This window comes from Homo sapiens, chromosome 5 (assembly GCF_000001405.40).
Source record: "Homo sapiens chromosome 5, GRCh38.p14 Primary Assembly".
NCBI classification, from domain to species: domain Eukaryota; kingdom Metazoa; phylum Chordata; class Mammalia; order Primates; family Hominidae; genus Homo; species Homo sapiens.
Genome location: NC_000005.10, coordinates 1,184,821 through 1,200,368, shown reverse-complemented (window position 1 = coordinate 1,200,368; position 15,548 = coordinate 1,184,821). Strand labels below are relative to the sequence as shown.

Genomic DNA, 15,548 nt, shown 5'->3' with positions numbered 1-15,548 from the left:
GACCAGCCTTCCTGAGGCCAGGGACGGTGCCACACCCTGCGCCTCCCCAGGCCTTCCTCCCGTTGCCTCCTTCAGCCTCTGGGCTCACCTCCCTGGGGGCCCTCGCTGGCCCCCTGCCCCCACTGCCCACATGGCTCCTTCCATAGCCGGGGCCTTCCCGGCAGGCATGGGACTTTCTCCCTAGCCTCCTGGTTCCTTTATCTCAGTCTGCACCGCTGGGCGATAAGGACCCAGAGCCGCCCCCGCCCCCACCTCCACCCTGCACAGGGCTCATCGACATTCGCTGAGTAATGGAGATGAAGGCGCTGGGGGCGTCACTCAGAGATGAGCGAGTTTAGGCGCCTGACCTTTGCCCCTAGGACACAGGAACTCAGAAAGGGAGGCCAGAAGGAAGAGATCACGTTTGCATTTAAGGACTCCTGGCTTCCGAGCACAGCGCAGATTGGAGGGAAGGGTGGGGACTTGGGAAGACAGAGAGAGAAAGACAGAGACAGAGAAAGAGAGACAGGGAGAGACAGAAACAAGGAGAGACAGAGAAAGAGAGACAGGCACAAAGACAGAAACAGAGACAGGGACAAAGACAGAGAGAGGTAGAGACAGAGACGAGGAGAGACAGAGACAGAGAAAGAGAAACAGGAACAGAGACAGAGAGAGGGAAAGACAGAGAGAGAAAGGCAGAGACAGAGACAGGGAGAGACAGACAAAGAGAGACAGGGAGAGAGAGAGAGACAGAGAAAAAAGAGAGAGACAGAGAGAAAGACAGACAGAGAAAGACAGGGACAGAGAGAGGGAGAGACAGAGACAGAGAGAGAGACAAAGACAGAGACAGAGAGACAGAGAGAGATGGAGACAGAGAGAGAAAGACACAGAGACAGAAACAGGGAAAAAGAGAGATGGGGAGACAGAGACAGAGAGAAAGAGAAAGACAGAGAAAGAGAGAGGGAGAGACAGAGACACAGAGACAGGGAGAGACAGAGATAAAGAGAGAGACAGACATAGACAGAGACAGAGAGAAACAGAGAGATAGAGACAGAGAAAGAGACAAAGAAAGAGACAGGGAGAGCCAGAGAGAGAGAAAGACAGAGACAGACAGAGGAAGAGAGACAAGGAGAGACAGAGATAGAGAGAAAGGGAGAGACAGAGAGAGAGAAAGTACAGAGAAAGAGAAACAGAGAGATAGAGGCAGAGAAGGAGAGAGGGAGAGACAGAGACAGAGAGAGGGAGAGACAGAGAGAGAGAGAAAGACAGAGAAAGAGAGCCAAGGAGAGACACAGAGAGAAAGACAGAGAGAGACAGAGAGATAGAGAAAGACAGAGACAGACAGAGAAAGAGAGACAGGGAGAGACAGAGATGGAGAGACAGAGACAGAAAAAGAGAGAGATGGGGAGACAGAGACAGAGAGACAGAGACAGAGAGACAGGAAGAGAGAGAAAGACAGAGAGACAGGAAGAGAGAGAAAGACAGAGAGAGACAGAGACAGAGAGAGATAGGGATAGACAAAGACAGAGAGATAGAGACAGAGAAAGACAGAGACAGAGAGAGAGAGATGGGGGAGACAGAGAGATACAGAGACAGAGAGAGAGAAAGACAGAAACAGAGAGAGACAAGGAGAGACAGAGATAGGGAGAGACAGAGAGAGAAAGACAGAGAAAGAGAGACAGGGATAGACAGAGACAGAGAGAGACAGAGATAGAGTCAGAGAGACAGAAACGGACAGAGAAAGAGACAGAGACAGACAAAAAGAGAGAGAGAAAGACAGATATAGAGAAAGAGAGACAGGGAGAGATAGAGACAAAGAAAGAGATAGGGAGAGACAGAGAGAGAAAGACAGAGACAGACAGAGAGAGACAGAGATAGAGAGAGAGAGGGAGAGACAGAGAAAGAAAGTCAGAGAAAGAAAGTCAGAGAAAGACAGGGAGAGAGAGAGAAAGACACAGACAGAGCAAGATAGACAGTGAGACACAGAGAGAGAAAAAGAGACAGAGACAGAGAGGGGGAAGAAACAGAGACAGAGTGACACAAAGAGACAGAGACAGACAGAGAGAGAGAGTCAGTGGCTGGCCCAGGCCTGGAGTGGGGACTCAGGAATGGCGGAGGGGACAGGACAGTCTTCAGATGGGGAGGACGTGTCTCCTGGACCCCAAGGACCAGCAAGGGAGAATGAGCGTGGGATGGTTAAGGGCAGGTCTTCTGAATGAGCTTTGTGGGAGAGTCCACACCAAAGACGATTGGAGGCATGAGCCCAGATGTGTGTGGAGGGTCCCTGCCCCTTGCAAGCCCCACTGGACACACCTGAGTTTCCCAGGGGCCTTGGGGCCCAACTTAAAGGGTGCCTGGGGCCAGTGGCCTTGAGGCTTCCTCCTCTCCCCAGTGCCTCTAGAAACTTCTGCAGAGGCAACCAGGTTGCGGGGTAGCAACCAAAACCAACTTGGACCACATTTGCTGGGCCACTGGCCCCATAGTTCTTAGTGCCCTCAGGCCCAGCATTCGTATATGTAAAACAAAGCGTAGTACCCAACTCTCACAGTACCGAACTCCTGCAGTACACAACTCCCACAGAACCCAACTCCCACAGTATCCAACCCCCACGGTACCCAACTCCCACAGTACCCAACCCCCTCAGTACCCAATCCCCGCAGTACCCAACCCCCTCAGTACCCAACCCCCGCAGTACCCAACCCCTGCAGTACCCAACTCCCATAGTACCCCACTCCCACAGTACCCAACTCTCACAGTGCACAACTCCCACAGTACACAAATGCCACAATACCCAACTCCCAACTACTCAACTGCCACAGAACACAACTCCCACAGTATCCAACCCCCACAGTACCCAACCCCTGCAGTACCCAACTGCCATAGTACCCCACTCCCACAGTACCCAACTCTCACAGTGCACAACTCCCACAGTACACAAATGCCACAATACCCAACTCCCAACTACTCAACTGCCACAGAACACAACTCCCACAGTATCCAACCCCCACAGTACCCAACCCCTGCAGTACCCAACTGCCACAGTACCCAACTCCCATAGTATCCAATCCCCACAGTACCTAACCCCTGCAGTACCCAACTCCCACAGTACCCAACTCCCACAGTATCCAACCCCCACAGTACCCAACCCTTGCCGTACCCAACTCCCGCAGTACCCAACTCCCGCAGGACCCAACTCCCACAATACCCAACCTCCACAGTACCCAACCCCTGCAGTACCCAACTCCCACAGTACCCAACTCCCACAGTCCCCAACTCCCACAGTACCCAACTCCCACAGAACCCAACTCCCACAGGACCCAACTACAATAGTACCCAACCCCTACAGTACCCAACTCCTGCAGTACCCAACTCCCGCAGTACCCAACTGCCACAGTACCCAACTCCTACAGTCCCCAACTCCCACAGTACCCAATTCCCACAGTACCAAACTACTATAGTACTCAACTCCCACAGTACCCAAATCCTGCAGCACCCAAATACAATAGTACCCAACTCCCACAGTACCCAACTCCTGCAGTACCCAAATCCCACAGTAGCCAAATACAATAGTAGCCAACTCCCACAGTACCCAACCCCCACAGCACCCAACTCCTACAGTACTCAACTACAATAGTACCAAACACCCACAGTACCCAACTCCCACAGTACCCAACTCCCACAGTACCTAACCCTCATAATGCCTAACTCCCATGTACCTAACTCCCATAGTACTCAATTCTCATAGTACCCAACTCCCAAAATACCTAACTCCCAATGTATCTAACTGCCACAGTACTCAACCCCCAGAGTACTCAACTGCCTCGTACCTAGGTAAGTACTCCATGCTTGTTCCCTGAGAAAATATCTAGAAATAGCTATGACTGATGGAAGACCAGTGCCTGACGCCTGCAGCAGCTCCCACAACAGGGCCTCGAGGGGCCACTTTGGTTCTGATCCTGCACTGGAGCTTTCTTCCTGCAGAAGAGAGCATCTCATCTGTCCCTGCCTCTGAGGAATGGGGAGCCCTTGGGAGGGTCTCAGCGCCACCACCGCCTGAGCTTCCCAAAACCCTCACAGCCCTGGCCAGCCCTGCCCATTGCCGGCTGGGAGGAGGGACCAGGCAAGCCAAGGACCATGGACCTCATTTCCTGCTGCAGAGCCTGAGGCCGGGTCACCAGCATGAGGCCTCTGTGATGCTGCTGTGGTCTCAGAGGCCATCGACTGCGTGCCTGGGAGGTGGGAGGTGACTGTGATGGCCGTCGACTGCGTGCCCGGGAGGTGGGAGGTGACCGTCGGCGATGGCCGTCGACTGCGTGCCCGGGAGGTGGGAGGTGACCGGCTGTGATGGCCGTCGACTGCATGCCCAGGAGGTGGGAAGTGGCCATCTGTGATGGCCGTCGACTGCGTGCCTGGGAGGTGGGAGGTGACTGTCTGTGATGGCTGTCGACTGCGTGCCCGGGACATGGGAGGTGACTGTCTGTAATGGCCATCAACTGTGTCCCCAGGGGGTGGGAGGTGACTGTCTGTGATCGTCATTCCTCAGAGGCAGGGAAAGATGAGGTGTCCTCTTCTGGGCTCCAAGGTGGGGCAGGGGCCAGGGAAGCAGTTCTCAGGGCCTCTGCACTCCCCAGGTGGTCACCAAGTCCCTCTCGCTCAGAAACCTTCAGTGTTCATTAGAGCAAAGGCAATGATCCCTGAGGGCCAGCAGGGTCCTACCTGCCCTGTGCACGGCCTCTGACCCTGCAGGGTCCTCCCACAGGCCTGGCCTGCACCTGCTGCTGGCTGAGGGCTGCTTCCCAGGAATTCAGCTTGGTCCGCACAGGCGAAGCATGGGCCACGCAGTGGGACTGCACTTCTCCTTGCCTTTCCTTTGCATAGCAGGATCTCCTCCAACAGGCTGTCCAGTTTGTTTAGCTGTTGGGCTAAGGGCTCATGCTCTCTCTTCCCCACTTGGACATAAGAGGGACCAGGTAGGAATCTTTGTTGCCTCTGTTTACTGGTGAGCCCTGAGCCCCCAGAACCTGCCTGATGCCTTATGAGCCCTCCTCAATATCTGACGCCCTGCAGCCTTGGGGCCCCAGAGATATCCCCAGGGCAGGTTCGTCCCCACCACCTCTGCCCCTCCCTTCCCAGCTCCAGGTACTGCAGGAGACCCCTACCATCTTGCTGATGGGGGTCAGGGAGTGAAGCTCCCTTCTGAAATCTGGGGCAGCTTGGGGGCAGGTGAACTACCCCGGGCTTCTGCCTGTTCCGGGTTGCATTTGAGACTCATCAGAAAGGCCAGGGTGGCCAGAAAGATGTCCTCCCTTGAGGCCAGAGAGGCCACCTGGGGCACGTAGTGAAAAGTTACCTTTGTCCGTGATGAGCACATGGAGGGGGTCATTGTTGTGGGTCTTTGCAGAACAGGTTTCCATACACCTTGCCCACACAGACCTGAGGAGGGTCCTTGGGGTCCGCAGTCGGAAACAGTGTGCCTTTGTGTCTACGGAAATATCTTATTGCAAAAGCAAGTTATTACAAGCTCAGCAAAGGAAATTGGAGCATTTTCAATACCTCCTGGAGGAAAACGCTGTCAATGGTTTTCTCCCTGTCCTGTAGTTTATAAATATCTGTGTGTGATACACTCACTCATGATGTGAGATTCAACTCTGTGCATGATATTTACTAAACATCATGTCTCGTCTGCATACTATGTCCCTCACAGCACTAGTCACAACAGCAAAGACATGGAATCAACCTACATGCCCATCGTCGGTAGACTGGATAAAGAAAATGTGGCACATGTGCACCATGGAATACTATACAGCCATAAAAAGGAACCAGATCATGTCCTTTGCAGGAACACGGATGGAGCTGGAGGCCATTACCTTTAGCAAACTCATACAGGAACAGAAAACCAAATACTGCACGTCTCACTTATAAACAGGAGTTAAATGCTGAGAACACCTGGGCAGATAGAAGGGAATATAAGACACTGGGCCTGTCAGAGGGTGGGCGGTGGGAGGAGGGAGAGGGTCAGGAAAAATAATTAATGGGTACTAGGCTTAATACCCGGGTGATGAAATAATCTGTACGCAAACCCCCATGACACACATTAACCTCTGTAACAAACCTGTACATCCTGCACATGCGGCCCTGAACTTAAAATAAGTTTAAAAAATTAAAAAATAAACATAATCTCATGAGGAGTTTCTGTTTATTAAATGTTTAGATTGTTAGGTTTGAATTTTTATTTAATTTTTCTTTCAAATACCATCCGGAGTGTGACATCGAAAGCCCTCTGCACCAGCGGCACCCTCGTTGATTATGGAAATTCACGGCAGCCTTGGCTTTCATTTTCCCCAAGAAGCCTTGCTGGGGTGGACGAGCTGCACCTGCGTCTTTCTCCAGGTGGATGAACTTTCAGGAAGCGGCACATCCGCGGAACAAACCCCTGCCCAGAGCAGGAAACGCAATGTTCCAGAACCCCAGCAGCCCGGCTCCCTCAGCCCCATCCCACTTCCAGAAAGGAGCCACTGTCTCGAGCTGGACGCTGCAGGTGGCTCGCTGTTCCGCTCAGAGCTGTCCGGGCCTCGCACCCTGGCTCGCTGTGCCTGCTCCAGGTCCACGGCTGCAGCTCCTTCACGGCTCCATTGCTGACGGTAGGGGTCCCGTTTGCGCCATGAGGATGAAAGCCGCCGTGGACGTCTGTTCCTGCCTTTCGCACATTCATGCCCGGAGTTCTCCGAGGTAAGCGCCCACGAGGGGAGATGCTGCCTCCTGGGGCGAGTGTGTCCGGCCGGAAAGGTGCAGGCAGGTGATTTCCATGAACAGTCCAGCTGGTCACCCTGGCCCTGCCCCTCCACCCACACCCAGCCCTGGCGTCCAGCCTTTCCACCATTCAGCCACAGGATCTCCATGCTTTGAATTCTGGTTTTCCTGGTGGCCAGGGATGCTGGACATCATCTATGGCTTTCACGGGCCATCGGCTGCCCCAAGGAATGCCTGTCCACATGCCGTACGCTACTGATGCTGACTTCTTCATGGGGATTTCGGGACTCTCAACATATTCCAAAATGTCCTGTTCCTGAAACATCTGCCCCTACTCACAGCCTTTCCTCCCCCACCGTGACATCTCCCTCAACTCACGGCCTGTCCCTCCTCTCCGTGACATCTCCCCCGACTCAAAGCCTGTCCTTCCCCTCCACGACATCTCTGACTCACGGCCTGTCCTTCCCCTCCACGACATCTCCCACAACTCATGGCCTGTCCTTCCCCTCCATGATATCGCCCCCTGCTCACGGCCTGTCCCTCCCCTCCACGACATCTCCCCCTACTCACTGCCTCTCCTTCCCTCCACGACATCTCCCCCTGCTCACAGCCTTTTCTCCCCCCACGACATCTCACCCACTCCTCAGCCTTTCCTCCCCTCATGACATCTCCCCCACTCCTCAGACTTTCCTCCCCCTATGACATCTCCCCGACTCCTCAGCCTTCCCCCCCCATGACGTCTCCCCCTACTCACAGCCTTTCCTCCCCCCACGACATCTCCCCCACTCCTCAGCCTTTCCCCCACGACATCTCCCCCACTCAGAGCCGTTCCACCTCTCATGATATCTCCCCCACTCCTCAGCCTTTTCTCCCCTCACGACATCTCCCCCACTCCTCAGCCTTTCCCCCCATGACATCTCCCCCACTCAGAGCCGATCCAGCCCTCATGACATCTCCCCCACTCCTCAGCCTTTCCTCCCCCCATGACATCTCACCCACTCCTCAGCCTTTCTTCCCCTCATGGCATCTCCCCGACTCCTCAGCCTTTCCTCCCTTTCCATGACATCTCCCCCACTCCTCAGCCTTTCCTCCCCCGATGACATCTCCCCGACTCCTCAGCCTTTCCTCCTTTTCCATGACATCTCCCCCACTCCTCAGCCTTTCCTCCCCCCATGACATCTCCCCCCATGACATCTCCCCCATTCCTCAGCCTTTCCTCCCCTCATAACATCTCCTCTACTCCTCAGCCTTTCCTCCCCCCATGACATCTCCCCCCATGACATCTCCCCCACTCCTCAGCCTTTCCTCCCCTCATGACATCTCCCCCACTCCTCAGCCTTTCCTCCCCCCATGACATCTCCCCCCATGACATCTCCCCCATTCCTCAGCCTTTCCTCCCCTCATAACATCTCCTCTACTCCTCAGCCTTTCCTCCCCTCATGACATCTCCCCCACTCCTCAGCCTTTCCTCCCTTCATGACATCTTCCCCTACTCCTCAGCCTTTCCTCCCCTCATGACATCTCCCCCTACTCCTCAGCCTTTCCTCCCCTCATGACATCTCCCCCACTCCTCAGCCTTTCCTCCCCTCATGACATCCGCCCCTACTCCTCAGCCTTTCCTCCCCTCATGACGTCTACCCCTACTCCTCAGCCTTTCCTCCCCTCATGACGTCTCCCCCACTCCTCGGCCTTTCCTCCCCTCATGACATCTTCCCCACTCCTCGGCCTTTCCTCCCCTCATGACGTCTCCCCAACTCCTCGGCCTTTCCTCCCCCCATGACGTCTCCCCCACTCCTCAGCCTTTCCTCCCCCCATGACGTCTCCCCCACTCCTCGGCCTTTCCTCCCCTCATGACATCTTCCCCACTCCTCGGCCTTTCCTCCCTTCATGACATCTCCCCCACTCCTCGGCCTTTCCTCCCCTCATGACGTCTCCCCAACTCCTCGGCCTTTCCTCCCTTCATGACGTCTCCCCAACTCCTCGGCCTTTCCTCCCCTCATGACGTCTCCCCCCACCTCAGCCTTTCCTCCCCTCATGACGTCTCCCCCACTCCTCAGCCTTTCCCCCTCATGACGTCTCCCCCACTCCTCAGCCTTTCCTCCCCTCATGACGTCTCCCCCACTCCTCGGCCTTTCCTCCCCCCATGACGTCTCCCCTACTCCTCAGCCTTTCCTCCCCCCATGACATCTCCCCTGCTCCTCAGCCTTTCCTCCCCTCATGACATCTCCCCTACTCCTCAGCCTTTCCTCCCCCCATGACATCTCCCCTACTCCTCAGCCTTTCCTCCCCCCATGACATCTCCCCTACTCCTCAGCCTTTCCTCCCCCCATGACATCTCCCCTACTCCTCAGCCTTTCCTCCCCCCATGACATCTCCCCTGCTCCTCAGCCTTTCCTCCCCTCATGACATGTTTTGATGTACAGAAGCTGTCAAGTGTAAGTCGACCAATCGTCTGCTGTTTATGTGCACCTCTGCCCGCCTTCAGGCCCTGGAGCTTCCTCTTCCACCTCCTGCCTCTGCAGGCTGCCCCTGCCTCCCACCCATGTCCAGGCCTGTTCGATCGACTTCTGCACTTCCTCTTTTGTTCATTGGTCTTCTTGTCTACTTTGCACCAATAATACACCATCGTATTCCCTGTTGCCTTCCAATAATCCTTGGTGTCTGGTGGTAAAGTCCTTCCACTTTGTTTTTCTTAGCAACATACATTTTATAGCAACCTTGTCACTTTCTGCAGAAAAAAGGCAGCTGGGATTTTAATGGAAATGCATTTAATTGACTCTGTAGATCTGTAAATCAGTTGAAGTGGAAATCTTTACAGTGTTAAGGTTTTCAAACCATGAACACCGTGTATCTCTCCATTAATTTAGGCTTTCTTTGTTAACGTTTCATAGTTTTGTGTAGAAGTCCTGAAGATCTTTCATTAGATTTATTCCCAGTTATTTATCTTTTGACTCTGTTGTAAATGGTGTTGTTTTTAAATGTCCGTCTCCTAACCTGCCTGCCTGGTGGACGTCATGTGAGAGCTGTCAGATTTGAAACAGGGTCCCATGGATTGAACCCACTGAAACCGGAGCCTGGGAAGGCTCTGAAGGGAGGGGTCTCCCGCCTGAATGCCTGACAAGAAGAACCACAAAAAAGACTGCAAACCCACAACCTTGCACAAAATGCTTCTTCGCGGACATCGGCCCACTCACTGCCCGTCCAACCTTGGACTGACGCCACCCTCATTGTTGATGCTGTCACCAAGGGGAATTGTTCCACAACAACATGTGCGACCCTCTTCATTTTCCCTTTAAAGCCCTCCTGACCGCGTTTGCCTGCTCCCCTCACAATGCCTGTTCCCAAGGAAATAGTTTCTTTTTTTTTTTTGAGATGGAGTCTCGCACTGTCACCTGGGCTGGAGTGCAGTGGCGTGATCTCGGCTCACTTCAACCTCCGCCTCCTGGGTTCAGGCGATTCTCCTGCCTCAGCCTCCTGAAGAGCTGTGATTACAGGCACCCGCCACCACACTCGGCTAATGTTTTGTATTTTTAGTAAAGATGGGGTTTCACTATGATAGCCAGGCTGGTCTCGAACTCCTGACTTCGTGATATGCCAGCCTCAGCCCAGCCACAAATAGTTTCTTTTAGTCTCTCTGTAACCACTCTCTAGGTTTGACAATAACAGTGCAATTACTTTTTGTATATTGACCTTACATCAAAATCTTTTTCTAATATTTTACCCATTGATTTTTAGAGATATCTTTTTTTTTTTTTGAGTCAGAGTTTCGCTGTTGTTGCCCAGGCTGGAGTGCAGTGGTGCGATCTCAGCTCAGCGCAACCTCTGCCTCCCGGGTTCAAGCAATTGTCGTGTCTCAGTCTGCCGAGTGGCTGGGATTACAGGCACCTGCCCCCACAGCCAGCTAATTTTTTGTGTTTTTAGTAAAGATGGGGTTTCACTATGTTAGCCAGGCTGGTCTCGATCTCCTGACTTCGTGATCTGCCCACCTCAGCCTCCCAAAGTGCAGGGATTACAGGCGTGAGCCACAGCGCCCGGCCCTTTTAAGATATCTTAATACAAAATTATGCCAACTGCAGGTGCCGGCTTTATTTCTCCTCCCCCACTCTGTCACCTTTGCTTCTTCTGTGTTTCTTGTCTTGCCGCGTTGTGTCCAGCACAGTGCTGGGTGGGGTCCCCATGGCGGCCTCCTGGCCTTGACCTGCCTGTGGGAAGCCATCAGCAGGTCACCCCTGGAGTCACCTAGTATGGTGGAGACTTTTGTACAAGCTCATTTCAGATTCAAGGCTCCTCCTTCTGTTCTCAGTTTACTAAGAGTTTCTTTTAATTTTTTCATGAGCTTTATTGATTCTCACACCGTAGAATCCACTCGCTTCAAGCCCATGATCCAGTGGCTTTCAGGGAACTCACGTCATCCTGCAACTGTCACTGCAATCGACGCTGGAACGTGCTCATCCCGAAAAAGAAATTCCCATTGCCCTCAACCCTCCTTGATGTTCTGCTTTTTATCATGAATGGTGATAAACTTCATAAAATTATCTCCTACATTTTTGAGGAGACATTGTTCCTCTTCATTCTTCATTATCTTCATGAGGTGATTACACAGTATTTTGTTTGTTTGTTTGTTTGTTTTTTGAGATGGAGTCTCCCTCTGTTGCCCAGGCTGGAGTGCAGTGGCGTAATCTTGGCTCAGTGCAATCTCCGCCTCCTGGGTTCAAGCGATTCTCCTGCCTCAGCCTCCTGAGTAGCTGGGATTATGGGCGCGTGCCACCACACCCGGCTAATTTTTGTATTGTTAGTAGAGACAGGGTTTCACCATGTTGGCCAGGCTGGTCTCGAAATCCTAACTTCAGGTGATCCACCCGCCTTGGTCTCCCAAAGGGCTGGGATTACAGGCACAAGCCACCGCACCTGGCCCACGGTTTGATTGTTAAATATTAAACCAATTTTACCATCCTGGAATAATCCCAATCTGTCCATCATGCATAATTTTTACAACACTGGCTTCAGTTCACCACAAATAGACTTAGAGTTTTATAATCTATGTTCCTTGCCCATATGACTTAATCCACATTTCCAACGGTGTCCTTGGGGTGGATTGCTGTGATGGGAATTATAAGGCCACAGGCTGCCCTTATCTTCCAGGTAGACACGTACATCACAAAATTCTCCATAAAAAGCTGAGTTATGCTTCCGCCAGCAGGAATTACGGATCTTCTACTCACTGAACTTTCACTCACAGTAGGTAATATTATTTATTTAAAACCTTCACTAATTTCATAAGCTTAACAACATACAGCTGAAATATACCAAAGAGCTTCCGGAATCCTTTGTAAAGGGGATTTGACCCTTAATCAATTTCGTGTTTTTGCCTCTCGGATTTTATTGAAATGGGGCAGGCTTTCAGCTTTAGATGTTTCCCACATAAGATGCCCCATCTTTCAAATCATCTGGAAGAGACGACATTTTAGCCGGCACAAGAGAGGCTACGCTGCAGGAACAAACATCCCCCAACTGTCCATGACAATGTTCTATGGGCCAGGGATCCTCCAGGCAGCTGCACCTCCAGAGCACCTGCAGAGTCCACAGCTGCTGAAGCTGGCGGGGGAGAGCTGGGGACCCAGTATGGGCCACCCCTGCCCACAGTCTGCCGGCCAAAGCCATTCCAACATCCAAGCACCTGCTCCTTCAAGGGGACAAGGAGGCACAGCACCCTCAAGGCTTGAGGAGGAGAGCCTGAAAGCATGGTCAGAGGTACCCACGTGGCCAGGATGGACGGCCAGGGGCCAGGCACACCGAGGACCGGCCGCAGCCGCCCCAGCCCCACACAGGCCCAGCACTGCATTTGGACATGCTTTCTGGCTTCTTTCTCTCCTGGGGGACGGCCGCCTCCTCCCAGCCACTGTGCCACCCCCAGCCCCCACCCAGCCTGCTGGCAGAGGCCTCAGCTCCCAGCCAGGACCTCTCAGTGCTGAGCAACAGAGGCCTCCGGCTGTGCCTTCAGCCCAGTGTGGTGGGTGGACCCTCAGGTCTGCAGAGGACTTCTCAGGCACAGCAGACTGGTAATGACCTGGCTGCTCAGCCGGGCCCTCACTGAAGGGCAGCATTTGGAAGCCACCAGGCCAGCAGGGGTCCCAGCGTGCCCTGGCCTTGGCTTTTCGGGGCCCTGGGGCATCTCACAGGGACCAAGCCCTCAGGAGACACACACGTGGGAATCATCGCTCAGGTCCTCGCTCCCCTGCAGGGAGGAAGAATGACCTCCCATTGGGTAGGGTGGTGGGGAGGGGGCCCACCTCGGAGGCACCGCCCTTTCATAGCCTCTGAGCCTTTTCAGGAGATGGAAGCAGCAGGAAGCCAGGCTTGGTCCTCCTGTGCCACCCCCACCATCTGCTCACAGCCAGCCAAGGCGGGGCTGCCGTCCCCAGCACAGGGTCAAGCGCCCCAACAAGGACTGGACCTGCTGCGTCCTGGACTCCACAGCCCTCCCACCCATCCCTGCCTGAGAATTATCAGTGGAGGCTCATCCCCAAGGCCCACGTCACCCCAGCGGGGCCACAGGGCTCCTGCATCTGCCCTGGAGGAGCTGCCAGCTGGAGCATGGCGGTCAAACCTGAGGTGTGGCTGGAGCTATCACAGCGAAGTACAGGTCTCTCCTGAGGAGGCCCAAGGCCCTGATTCCATCCCTTCTGGAAACTTCCAGGTGCAGCAAGATGAGTGTGAGGCCGGGCTGGGCCCAGGAGAGAAAAGCAGGAGGGGGTGGGGGTGCCCACATCCTGGGGCAGCCACCAGGACAGGGCAGAGACATCCTGAAAGCATGGACGCCCCCCATGCCCAGCCAGAGAAAGGTGCCAGGGATGCTGATGGCTCATTGGTGGTGCCTCTCACATCCCTCAGCACCCGGCATTGGGCAGCAGCCAAGAGGGCAGCCATGGGGGGCCTCGTGATCACGGATCAGTAACCTTTGTTCTGAACGGGGTGGTTTGTTTTCATGGAGGAGCCGAGTTTGTAAGGCCCAAGTTATTGAGCAGCAGCTTCCTAAGTCACGAGACCCTGAGGCCTCCCACCTCCCCAAGGCCTGGAGCTAAATCCGCAGGGTCAGCTCCACCTCCGACATTCCTCCTGGTCACCTTCACCCCTGCCCTTGTCTCTACCTTTGCTTTCCAGGGAAGGGGAAGCAGAGTGTCCACCCACCAGGGCAGGAGGCCGGGGGGCAGGGGAGACAGACAGCAAGACACAGAGGCAGAGAGACAGGGAGACAGACAGAGAGGCAGAGAGAAACAGAGACAGAGAGACAGGGACACAGAGAGGCAGAGAGAAACAGAGACAGAGAGGCAGAGAGAGATAGAGACAGAGAAGGAGGGAAGAGGAGAAGAGAAAGGACAGAAGGGGAGAGAGGGGGCCAGTCCCCATGGTCCTGTCCCTGGCACCCACGGCACTCATGGGTGCTCCATGCTGGGGCCACTGCATTCCCAGGAGGGGCCGTGCCCCAGATGCTCTGGTCCCTGGGTGGGAATTCCCAGGACACCTGTGCGTGTGGCGCTCTGGGCACCTGCCAGCCAGGGGACGCTGGCCTTGCACTGGCACTGTGCCTCTCCTATGGGCATCACATTCCTGGCTGTGTTTACTGCTAGGTTATCAGGAGAGCCAGTGCTTACCCAAACGTGGATCTTTGCGGAAATAACCCAGAGATAAGCTGGGACAGGCTGCAGTTTGACTTTCCTCTGTGTCAAGATAACAGCTGAGATCAGCGGGTGGCAGCGGAAGCACAGAGAGGGGCTGTGACCTCCTCTCCACAGAGTGTGTCAGATGGGGCCCTGGCTGCCCTGAGTGGACGACATCCAGGGAGGCTGCCCGGCCAGAAGCCCTGGGCCTGGAAGCAGCCAGCTTGAAGCTTGTGGCCTGGAGGCCTGGGGGCCAGAGTCCTGCACGGAAGCCCTGGTCCCATCCATGGAACCCTTCTGCTCTATGGTGCACAGCTGGGAAAAGTGAAGGGACACCCCTAGTTATTGTAGTTATTGTCAGAGAAATAACCATAGTGTAAATGTGTGTTTTTGTAACTTTTGTGATTATAAAATACAGTTTTGTAACATATTTGGAAAATGCAGAACAAACACGGAGAGGAGAAGTGTCCTCATTTCACCATCCATGGGGGCGAGAAACAGCCAATTCAGCATTTTCCATCCTGACGCATGTGTGCATATGTACACGCATATCACACATATGTGCCAGTTCCATTCTGACACTTGTGCAGATGCACACGCATATTACACATATGTGCCAGCTCCATCCTGATGTGTGCAGATGTGTAAAGATGCACAAGCATGTTACACATGTGCCAGCTCCATCACGACACGTGTGCAGATGCACACACATCACACATGTGTAAAGTTCATCATGACACGTGTGCAGGTGCACACACATGTTACACATATGTGCCAGTTCCATCCTGACATGTGTGCAGATGTGTAAAGATGCACAAGCGTGTTACACATGTGCCAGCTCCATCACATGTGTGCAGATGCACACACATATCACACATATGTGCCAACTCCATCCTGACATGTGTGCATATGCACACACGTATCACATGTATGTGCCAATACTCCCTCTGGGAGTTGGGGGAGGAGCTCCTTCCACAGACCCTCCAGGCACTCCAGGTACCGGGTGACAAAGGGTGGGCTGGGTCAGCCCTCATTCTACAGATGAGGAAACTGAGTCCTGGGGACAAAGAGACCACTCAGGGTGGAGGCCAAGGGGCACCAGACCCCAGGTCTCCTTCCCACAACCCAGCCCAGTCCAATGGCCCTGCTCACCTCCCAGCC

At 54.0% G+C, this 15,548-nt stretch overlaps 4 annotated features.

The window, feature by feature from the left end:
* Window positions 3,556-4,363: an enhancer, noted in NCBI's record as "H3K4me1 hESC enhancer chr5:1196121-1196928 (GRCh37/hg19 assembly coordinates)". NCBI's record gives its function as "activates a minimal SCP1, AML or CMV promoter by ChIP-STARR-seq in naive H9 embryonic stem cells {active_cell/tissue: H9 hESC(naive)}" and the evidence as "EXISTENCE:reporter gene assay evidence [ECO:0000049][PMID:30033119]".
* Window positions 4,364-5,171: an enhancer, noted in NCBI's record as "H3K4me1 hESC enhancer chr5:1195313-1196120 (GRCh37/hg19 assembly coordinates)". NCBI's record gives its function as "activates a minimal SCP1, AML or CMV promoter by ChIP-STARR-seq in naive H9 embryonic stem cells {active_cell/tissue: H9 hESC(naive)}" and the evidence as "EXISTENCE:reporter gene assay evidence [ECO:0000049][PMID:30033119]".
* Window positions 12,065-12,757: an enhancer, noted in NCBI's record as "H3K4me1 hESC enhancer chr5:1187727-1188419 (GRCh37/hg19 assembly coordinates)". NCBI's record gives its function as "activates a minimal SCP1, AML or CMV promoter by ChIP-STARR-seq in primed H9 embryonic stem cells {active_cell/tissue: H9 hESC(primed)}" and the evidence as "EXISTENCE:reporter gene assay evidence [ECO:0000049][PMID:30033119]".
* Window positions 12,758-13,451: an enhancer, noted in NCBI's record as "H3K4me1 hESC enhancer chr5:1187033-1187726 (GRCh37/hg19 assembly coordinates)". NCBI's record gives its function as "activates a minimal SCP1, AML or CMV promoter by ChIP-STARR-seq in primed H9 embryonic stem cells {active_cell/tissue: H9 hESC(primed)}" and the evidence as "EXISTENCE:reporter gene assay evidence [ECO:0000049][PMID:30033119]".